Source organism: Homo sapiens, chromosome 5 (assembly GCF_000001405.40).
Source record: "Homo sapiens chromosome 5, GRCh38.p14 Primary Assembly".
NCBI lineage: Eukaryota > Metazoa > Chordata > Mammalia > Primates > Hominidae > Homo > Homo sapiens.
This window is the reverse complement of record NC_000005.10, coordinates 8,552,300-8,563,798: the sequence shown is the minus strand read 5'-3', so window position 1 is coordinate 8,563,798 and position 11,499 is coordinate 8,552,300. Positions and strand designations below refer to the sequence as shown.

Genomic DNA, 11,499 nt, shown 5'->3' with positions numbered 1-11,499 from the left:
AATGGATTTTAGAATTACTATGGAGAAGTGACTTAAGTGTGCTTTCTATTCCCCCTTTGAGGATAGAAGGGTCTGTAGCAGTTCCTCTTTTTTTTTTCTTTTTCTTTTTTTTTTTTTTTTTGAGACAGAATCTTGCTCTGTCGCCCAGGCTAGAGTGCAGTGGTGCAGTCTCGGCTCACTGCAACCTTCGCTTCCCGGGTTCAAGTAATTCTTCTGCCTCAGCCTCTCGAATAGCTAGGACTACAGGCGTGTGCCACCACGTCTGGCTAATTTTTGTATTTTTTTTAGTTTAGACAGGGTTTCACCACATTGACCAGGCTGGTCTCAAATTCCTGACCTCGTGATCCGCCCACCTTGGCCTCCCAAAGTGTTGTAGCAGTTATTCTACATAAGTCTCACCACTATGTGTTGGGCACATGGAAAGTGAATAACTTGCCTTTCTAGTTCACAGGCGTTCAGATTTCAAAGAGCTGATATGGGAAGAGCCACTTTCTGAAATGGACCTGATTGGAATGTTAAGATCTGGGCTTCAAGCTGATGCTATAATGGGATGAGACTTGGGTGGGGGATGGAGGTATTCTTGGAAGACAGTGTCAAGAGCTGAGAAGGGTCTGATATGTTACCACACTTACCTGATAACTAGTTAACTTGCCATAGTTTCAAGAATGCTGGTAGAAAACATGATGTCTCCTGGTCGAAGAAAGTGAATTTTTTTTTTGTTACTCCGAGAATAGCAGTAAGTATGAACATCACGTGTCAGTTCCCCTGGCTCCCAAGTGCCGTGAGGACAATGCAGTGAGACCTGGATAGATACCTGTACACAGAGTGGATTGCATTACAGGAAAGGAATACTGAGCTTAGAAACCCCAAGTGTTTTGTAACAGTAAGCTTGCCTGTCCTTAGTCTGGAGAAAGACGTTATCCATTATTACACTGCATGGTAAGCTTGCCTCTGCTTTGCTTCTGAGGGATATATTCTATTTACAGCTATAAGAAGACAGGTCTTCTCTTCTTGAGGGAGAAAGTGTATCTTCCACAGCTGTTCATTATACAACCATCTTTGAAAACAGAGTGTGAAACAATAGGCACTCTCTGCTTACAAGACATGGAGAAATATGAGACTCATGAGGAATTGTCTCCCAACAAAGCACAAGTATACGTTGCATATGAAATAGACATGAGACAATGAGGGAAGGAGGTGGACTATAATAGCTGGTCTCCAAAGTCTTCCAGTGAGCCTGCCCACTAATATTCACGCCATTGTTTAGTTCCCTTCTACTTCTATTCAAGTGGCAATACACGACTAAGACTGTTACAAAGACATTGTAGCTTCTGCCTTGGTATTTTGAATTATTCACTTTAGGGATGAGGACCATAAGGACACTCAGGTGTTCCTGTGAAGAAGCACACAGTGAAAGGAGCTGAGTCTCCCAGCCATTAGCCAGCACCAGTTTGTCATCCATCCAAGAAAGCCCCTTTTAAGTGGACCCCCACCTTATTTAAGCCTTCAGATGCCTGAGGCTCCAGGCACCATCTGACTATAACCTCATAAAAGACCCTGAACCTGAACTCTCCAGTGGATGACTAACATAATAATAGTCAAGGATGAAATTTGGCTGTGAGTGTTATCTGAAGGGAGAACTTATGACTATGGCCAACATTGGAAACCTTGAAGGTAGAGATGCTATCAGATGTCCTCTGTACAACCTTCTACTTAATCTGGGAGTTTTATCTGACAGAGGTCATCAGGCCAGTACTCTCAGTGACCACTAATTTACTAGGACACAAGCCAGACCACCTCATTCTTGGACCATCCCAGTCATTAGAAACCCTCTCTTTATTAAACCAATATGTGACTTTCTATAATTTTTGTAAATAGGTCCCAGTGTTTTCAAAATCCACAAGAATAAATCTGATTCTTCTGTACATTAAATAAGTCTATTGTAATGGTGCATGAGAGAGTTCAACTCCAAAAAAAGAATTTTTTTACCATAAATTTAGTTATATACCTATGCAATCATTGGATTTTCTTGCTTTCTTATAACATAGCAATGATTTTGTAGCACTGTATTTTCTATTAACGGAATTGGATACATGAGACAATACCAAACAAAAAAAAAAATCAAGTGGTCCAATTTATTCAGCTGGATCTGTTTAGCATGCAGTTTGCTTGGCTAAGTGATGATGCTCTGTTAAATCCCAAAGAGATGTGTGCCTTTAGAAACTTGGGGAGGTAGAAGGTTTATCTGGAGCAAAAAAAAAATTGTAAAGCTTTTTTCTTCATACGTTTGGAAGAAGATACTTTAATAGTTTACTCTGTATGTCACATTCTAGGAGAAATCTAGTGAAGTATTGAAGTGTGTGGCTTTAATAAAATCAAGCCCATCATTCCCTGGCTTGTTTTTAGATGTGAAGCAATCCACTCACAGAACAACACTGGGAAGGGGGGGAATTCAAATTATCTAGCAGTGAACAGTTCTGATGATGAATGCAGCATTACCGTGAGGATGATGACAGTAACATTTAATTGAATTAGAATACCAGGCAGACAATTTCCATCAATAATAAATATGTTGTTGAATCAATAACTGCATTGTGATCAATATTACATCATAAGAAAGTAATTGCTTAGCATTTCAATCTAATTTTTAAAAAAATTCAAGATGAATTACAATGTTTTATTTCTCTAAGGAACCAAATCAGTGTTTTGCTGAAGCAATGAAGTTGTACATGGAAATGCTTAGTGCTTTGCTTAGGTTCAGAGAGAAAATTAATAGCAAAACTGGGAATACAATCCTCATCTTCTGGATAGTAAGTTTTTTTTCAGTCTGCAGAGTCACATTATTCTAGTTTATTAAATTCATGACTCTGTCAGCTTATGTCAGGCTCTGGAGAAGCTGAGAGAGATGAATTATAGGAAGTGATGAAACCAATAAGAAAGAAGGGGCTCCCATGGATGTGAGTGGACATGGATTTGTCAACACTTGAAACACTCAGGCGTTTCTTCCCCAAACGACAATCTTGATTATTTCATCTAGTTCAGACATTTTTAAGTATTTAGTCACCAAAGCTTGTATAATCTCTCTCCTGCTGCCATACAGCTTATTATGGTCTAGAGGCAAGGTAGATATGAAACACAAGATCACAAAATGGATCTAACTAAAATTATAATACATTTGGCAAAGGAGAAATAGCAAATTTTGGCAAGGGAGAAATAGCAAATTTTACTAGAATCAATTGTTATGGGGAAACTCAAAAGTAGGAAAACGAGGGAAGTGACAGTTAGTTAATGCATGAAGGATGAGTAGGAGGTAGAGGAAGCATGTCAGAGAACAATCCAGATAGAGGGAAGGTATGAAGGTACTGAGAGACAGGAAGTGATGTTAGAATTTCAGAAAATAGAAGAAAGGGGGAACCCAGGAGATACCGAGCAAATGATTGAGTGGTGGACGCTAAGCCTGAAGCAGTAGATAAATGCCACTAACAGGACAGTTACATCATACAACTGATTTGGATTTTATTTTCTGAATAAGCCACTTGGAAATAAGAGAGGGAATGATTAGGTTGATTGTTTGCTTACCATTTGTTTGCTGTTGTTGTTTTGCTTTTAAATGCTGTTTTGATTGTTATTTGCAATACAGCAACTGGAGAGGAGGCTCATGGAGACAGGAAGAACTGTGTTAGTCTAGGTGAGAGCTGAAGGTGGCTTGGACCAGGGTGATGCTGGAGGTGTTGGAGAGAAGTTAGCACATCCAGAAAGTAGACAGAAAATAAAATTAGCAGAGATCAAGAATAACACTGTGTAAAAGGTGATTCTGAATTATCTGGCATTAGAATGTGGGTGGATATTCACCCTATTTACCATTTTTGGTAAATACTTAGTGAGGTAAGGAGATGGAATAGGCTTTATTCTAATAACTACTATCAATTTTGCTTACTTTAAACAACATCACTATTGCTGTCATCACCCAACCTCCACTCACTCTAGAGAGTAGACAGAAGGCAATGAAGATATTCAAGGGGTTTGTAGTATAATACAATTATTAAATGCCACCTCTATTTAAGTAAATGTTTCTTTATGTTTCTTTTTTTTCTTTCTTTTTTTTTTTGAGACAGTCTTGCTTTGTCACCCAAGCTGGAGTGCAGTGGAGCAATCCTGGCTCACTGCAACCTCTGCCACCTGAGTTCAAGCGATTCTCCTGCCTCAGCCTGCTGAGTAGCTGGGACTACAGGTGTGCACCACCACATCCAGCTAATTTTTTGTATTTTTAGTTGTGACAGGGTTTCACCATGTTGGACAGGCTGGTCTGGAACTCCTGGATTCAAGTGATCTGCCCACTTTGGCCTCCCAAAGTGCTGGGATCACAGGCGTGAGCCACTGCGCCAGGCCTATGTTTCTAAATTTCAGTTACCATGTTTTATCCTCTTGCTAAATTGTAGTGTTCCTGAAACGAGTGTGACCCACATCTTCTGTCTTCTCAAGGAAGTAAGAATGAGAAGAGGGTGGTAAAGGAATGTATTTGTGTGACAATAGGTAGAAATAGGAAGTGGGTGTGAACCTCCCTTCAGTTAACCAATATTGTTTCTGATTGTGTAGCTAATGAAATCATAAAGTTATTTGTTTCTACAAGGTCTGCTTACCTCACATGCGGTGATATAATGTCTGATCACACCCCCCATGTTGGGGTAAACAATCTTCTTCTCTCTTAGTCTGTATTGACTATTTTCAGACTCAAAACGATGGTGCACCCAAGAGGAGAGCCATAGTTTCTCTTCCCAGCCCCAACAGCAGTAACTAACCCACTCTCCTGGACCAGATACTGGGACTGGTCTGATAATACCTCTACCAAAACAGAAACTTATTTTCAAACAAATAACATTTTTGGTTGCCATCAACTGTTCTTCTTTATGATACATGAGGGAGAAAGTGAGAAACAGAGATACAGAAACTGAGAGAGATAAAACAAATATGGTCATATTAGTTTTAATTTTCTAAATTGCAGGTTATAGTCAATGTATTTGAAATTATTGACAATGTTTAATTGGCCCTTTTCTATATATCATAATACTTTTAATAGGGAAAATATTATTTCTCTAAGTGCTGTAGTACCTGCTAACCTGAGAGCAAAATCTGCTAAACGGAGAGTCTCAGTTCTAAAACATTTTGTGTATTAGTTTTAAAATAAAATGTGTAAATATGTCTTATGTAGTGGCACCATTCAGTTATCCAGAGTACTTTTCTTTATCTTTATGATCCTTCTAAAAGTTTTGCCGAGTTTAGATGCTAAAAATTCACAGGTATCTCAATATTGCTCTGTTGTGGCACTGAGTATATCAAATTAAAAATGTAAACTCCACCAAAACATTCTTCTCATGAGATGAGGTATTCCAAAGTGCAATTATTAATTTAAACACTAAACTATGTACACTCGAATGCCTATTGCATATCTTCGTTTTTTCCTTGTTTTGTAGGTATAATTGCTTTCTGTGTGCGAGTACTGGAACTCATTCAAAGGTTTAAAAGCTTATCTTTTTGTTTACCTTTCATTTAATATTTGATTAAATATTTCCAATTGGTTTTTAACAAAGAAAAAACAAGCAAAACTTAGAGGACTTGTTTATTTAGAAAATGTTTAGTATCACTGTAGAAATATAGGTCTATTTACATGGGCAGGTAAAAACTAGAGAGGAGCGTGTGAGGATGACTCAAACATCACAGCTTGTTTTCATGCAATGATTAATCATACTACTTAAAAAATAAAAGATGTAGGAAAAATGCAAAACTGGAAAAGCTGATTAGACAGTAGGCAGGATGAGGCTCTACTGGGCAAAACAGGATGAAAATTCACTCTATTGTGACTTCGCTGGGCAGACAGCCTGTCTTTCTTCTTTCTGTGCCAAGCTACAGAATGTAGATTAGATTAACCAGAGTAATTTTTCCCTGTGACAAACATATTTCTAAAACGTGTAAGGAAATGACATTGGTTTTCTAATTTTAACAATCTCAAAACCTTTCAGAAAACCATGAAAGCTAAGGCTAACCCTTGTCTCTTATGAAAGAATCTGCTATAACCAAAACTATGTATCTCATTAAAAGTTTCAAGTACCTCAGATGGCTGCTTCTGCCTTTGGAATAGGTGAAATAATACACATTTTGCACAATTTCTACCCAAAAATAAAAACAGAAGAAACATTTCCTAACTCACAAAGTCCAGCATTACTCTAATAACAAGATAAAGACATTAAAAGAAAAATGTCTTGTAAAATGAAAAGGAAAACTGCAGACCAATATCTCTCGTGAATGTAGACATGATTGCCAAAAAATATTATCACATTTTATCCAACAATATATATAAAGTATTATACATCATAACCAAGGGAGATTTTTTTTTCAGTTATGCAAGTCTAATTTAACATTCAGAAATTAGTCAATGTAATCCATCTGTAAGTAGGCTAACGAACGTTTTACAATGACTTCATCAATTGATGCAGGAGAAGCAGATAACAAATCCAGTACCCACATGTGATAAAACTGTCAGCTGACTTCGTAACAGGGGAGTTTCCACAACTTGATTTAAATAAATAAATAAATAAAAATAAAAATACAAAAAAATCAAGTCACATAATACTTGATAGTAAAAAACTGGACATTTTCCCTGAGATTGGAAACAAAGCAATGTGCTCTATCACTACTGCTATCCAATAAGAGAAGTCTTGCTAGTGCAACAAGACACAAAAAAGAAATAAAAGGTTTATAGATTGCAAAGGGAGAAATACGGCTGTCTTTATTCAAAGATGACGTGATTATCTACAGAGGAAATCTCAAAGAATTTATATCAAAGAAGCTAAAAAAATTTAACAATCCCTGGAACTAATAAATAAATATAGCAAGGTCACAAAAAACAAATCTAATATAAAAAATCCAAATGATTTTGAGCAAGGAATAATTATAATTTTGTTTTTTTTAAAAGCAATGCCTTTTACAAGTTTGCAAAAAAGTTAGTGACCTTTTTTTAAAAAAAATTTGAATTTACAGAAAATATGTGAAGCTAGTACACAGAGTTTCCATATGCACCCAATCTCTCCTATTATTAATATCTTATATGGGTAAAGTACAATTGTCAAAATTACTTAACTAATATTGATACATTTTTATTAACTAAGTATGTATGTTATTTGGATTTCCTTGGTTTTTACCTACTATTCTTTTTCTGACCCATGATCCCATTCAGAATACCACATGCCTTTAGTCACTATTTCTCTTTAGGCTCCTCTTTGCTGTGCCTGAAAATGGCCGTGGCTCAGCCATTTCCATCACATCAAATCAAGGGTACATACTCTGACCATGACTTACGTATTATTAGTCCATTTTCATGCTGCTGATAAAGACATACCTGAGACTGGGTAATTTAAAAAAGAAAGAGGTTTATTTGGACTTGCAGTTCCATGTGGATGGGGAAGCCTCACAATCATGGTGGAAGGCAAGGAAAAGCAAGTCACATCTTACATGGATGGCAGCAGGCAAAGAGAGCTTGTACAGGAAAACTCCCCCGTGTAATAACCATCAGATCTTGTAAGACTTACTCACTATCATGAGGACAGCATGGGAAAGACCTGCCCCCATGATTCAATTACCTCCCAGCAGGTCTCTCCCACAACACGTGGGAATTCAAGATAAGATTTGAGTGGGAACACAGCCAAACCAAATCAACTCACCACTGTTGTTCATCTTGATCATCTGCCTGAGATAGTGTGTGTCAGGTTCCTCTACTGTACAATTACTCTCCCTTCCTTTCTATACAGTACCCTTTGGAAAGAATGCCCTGTGCACAGCCCACACTTAAGAAGTGTGGAATTATGTTCTATCTCCCTGAGACTGAAATGTCTACATAAATTGTGTGGAATTCTTCTCCAAAAAAAGATTTTATATTCTCCAATTCTGCTTTCTTATACAATCATTAATTTATATCAATATGGAATCATGGATACTTAACTTATATTTTGGGTTTTAATACTTCCTTATTAGTTTTGTTGCTTTAATTATCCAGCTTCAGCTATTTGGGGCTCTTTCAGTCATCTCCTGTGTCTCCTTGACATACCCTCATGACTGTGGACTTTTAAAAACATTTCTTCACTTTATGGCACTATATGAAGCTCTAGGATCATCGAGCCTGTTCCCTGCACCATTCCTAGAACCAGCAATTTTTTCAAGTATGTTGCTTCTTTTTATCTCATAATAGAATTAGAAAACAAACTCTGGGTGATAAGTGTGGTTTTTGCTACTGGGGTGTCATTGCTTCTAGACCTTCTCAGTTGATAGAACAAGGAAATATATGTGTATACTAAACTGTGCATCTCCATATATCTATAAATATCCTTCTATGTATGCATCTATGTGCACAAACATGTAGCTAAACATGAGCTCATACTGATGTCTCCAACTCTAATTCATTGCCACATGGATCATTCATGCCTTCTTTCTTTGCTTTTCTATAAACTTCCACTTCAACATTTAGAAACCTGGTTCCTACCATCTGCCACCCATTTTTGTAATTGTTCCATTCCAGTATATATGTACAGTGGTTTCACCATTGCTAACCTGTGCATATCAACTTTATCAACTAGAGTACAGTGCTTATGTGCAGTTTCCACTGTCTTTAATCTTATAGATTCCACTAATTCCCAATGTTGCTTAGGTTAACACTTTCCCCACCATGCCTATCAGTGAGGTTGTTTCATACATGTGTACACAGATTCTTTTGTCACAATCTGCATTTCATCCTGGGATCCCCTGAACTCCCAAATGTTTTTTAAAAACTTGCATAGATTAAGGTTGGTCTTTGTGCTATCGAGTACCATGTATGATACAAACATAGCATTATTAACTCATAGCTGTATATGCAAAGTTTCACTGCATTAAAAATCCCGTGGGCTTTACCTCATCAACTCTGGCTCAGCCTCAAACTCCTGGCAACCACTAATCTATTTACCATACCTATAGTTTTGCCTTTCTAGAATGTCATATATATGGAATTATTTAGTAAGTAGCCTTTTCAAATTGGCCAGTTTTTCACTTGCAATATGTGTTTAAAGTACATCCACATCATTGCGTAGATAGAAAGCTCATTATTTTACCACTGGAAAATATTCCATTGTTTAGTTCTACCGCATTTTATTCGCCTAATGAAGAATACCTTGATTACTACCAATTTGGGGGCAATTATGAATAAAGCTGCTATTAATATTCATTTGTTCATTTTTGTGTGGACATAAATTTTCAAATCTGTCATATAAAGATGTAGAAGCATAATCTCTGTATGATATAGTATGATAACATTTAGTTTTGTAAGAAACTGGAAAATTGTCTTCTAAGTTGATTGTACCATTTTGCATCTTTGTGATTCATCCTTTAGAGTAATTTACATCTTAAACATTCCACACACTGTTTACTTTCTCGATTTGCTCTCTAAACCCGAAGTGGACAGGTAGGCAACATGCATTTGATGTAGTACAGGAAACAGAGTGCATTTGATTGAGAACCATATCAGTCTGGGTTAGTACCAAAGCATTCTGTCCTAGAGTCATAACCAGGATCCAACATTTCATTCTTAAGGTGTAAGTAGGAAGAGATGCTAGAATGCAAATATTTTATTCTGTTTTCTTTCTCAGTGAGGTGATAATTATTTACAGTCTGAAAAGATGCTGTGGGAGTCAGAATATGAAGGGAGTTTAAGTTTTGTTTGGGTCTTTAGAACTCATAAAAAGCTTTAGTTCTTTCTTATGTTTTAACTGTGTGTTTAGGATATTATTTGTCAAGAACTCCTAAGGGTGAATAACATTAAATTTGTTGATTATACAAAGCATCACCAAAAGCAAAACTTTTCAATACCAGCAATAGTTTATAAACCTGGAAGTCCCCAAAGAGCTTTGAATATGCTGAAATTTGGACTACATGAAAGACTCACTGGATAATATAACTGGTTCTTTTAGAAATTTGTGGAATTATTTTAGGGGTGCATCTCTCCAGGAAAATGAATTAAGAAACTATCCAAGGGCTTTTGGTTTGCAGGCTGATTCTGATAGCAATTAGCCAAAAGCTAATTTTCCTATCCAAAGGTAATATCTACTAATTATCTCTCTATGTGCTCAATAGTACTGGGCATTTTACAAATATTATTTTATCCATTTTCACAAAAATCATGGAAGTTATTATATTACATGGTAATAATAATAGAAAATAATAAAAATTAATAAATAATACTTTACAAATAATAATAGAGTATTTTTTTCCTTTCTACAGATGAGGAGATTGAAGCTTAGAAAGGATAGCTGCCTTGTTTACTCTTTATTCTCTTAGAAAATGACCTACATTGGATTCTGTTTTTCACTATATATTAGTTTTTTTAGAAAATACTTATATAATTAACTTCAAACAGGGGAAGTATCATAAAAGACAGGGTAGAAAGCATGATCACAAGTTAAAAATTAGCCATTCCCATGTAGTTTAGGGAAAAAATAATTGGCTTGTAGATAATTACGTATGTGATTTTCACTACCAAGACTATTTTTTGTGTGGCTAAAGATTATTTAATTATCTTTTTTCTTTTCTTTCTTTTTTCTTTTTTGAGACAGAATCTTACTCTGTTGCCCAGGCTGGAGTGCAGTGGCGGGATCTCAGCTCACTGCAACCTCCGCCTCCCAGATTCAACCAATTCTCCTGACTGAGCCTCCCGAGTACCCGGGTTACATGTGCCCACCACCACGCCTGGCTAATTTTTGTATTTTTAGTAGAAACAGGGTTTCACCATGTTTTCCAGGCTGGTGTTTAACTCCTGACCTCAGGCAATCCACCCTCTTTGGCCTCCCAGAGTGCTGGGATTACAGGCGTGAGCCACCTTGCCCAGCCTAATTTTCAATTCTGAGGAGTAAAATAATCAATCATAGCCAGAAAAAAATGAACCATTTAATTCAATTCTATGCCTCCATTGTGACTGCAACTCACCAAGTACTCTTCTCATTCTGAGATAATCCAACCCACATAAGACACTCTTGTCAATTAACTGTTGGTATTTAATATTATAATAATCATATAATAGTAATGCTTTCTTGTTCATTCATTGTTTATGTGGAGATTTGGGTAAGTTTACTCTGAGCCTTGCTTTTGTTATTTTTAAAGTAGGCTAGCTTTACCCACATTGCAGTTTCCCCAGTGAGAATTTCAGATAATTTCTGCTAAGCATCTAGAACAGTTAACAGTTTCTAGCAGATTAAAGAAAAATCATTTGCAGAAGTGGTCATTATTACACTATCTCTGAGACTATTTTGCAGTCATCAATATGTATATCCCATCAATATATCTTCTGTTGCCTATGAAGCCTTCAACACAAGTAAGAATATAAAAGATATTTAATAATGACAGTTCAATCCATATTCATACATTGATTAATTAATTGTCAAGAATGAAGGATGAAGAAGAAAAATCACCAGAGGATCTTTTGGC

General features: G+C 36.5%; 1 long non-coding RNA gene across 3 annotated transcripts in view; it reads right to left on the bottom strand.

Moving 5' to 3' along the window:
* Positions 1–2,116: 2,116 nt before the first annotated feature.
* LOC105374647 (uncharacterized) overlaps positions 2,117–11,499 on the bottom strand; it is a 36,488-nt gene continuing 27,105 nt past the window's right edge. For 2 of the 3 annotated variants that reach the window (NR_188264.1, NR_188265.1), the window contains 2 exons: positions 3,580–3,722; positions 2,117–2,245 (listed from right to left, as the gene is read on the bottom strand). This is a non-coding gene — a long non-coding RNA (uncharacterized LOC105374647). Of the gene's footprint in view, positions 2,246–2,843; positions 3,112–3,579; positions 3,723–11,499 lie in introns of those variants that run through there. The other variant, NR_188263.1, reaches the window with a different exon arrangement.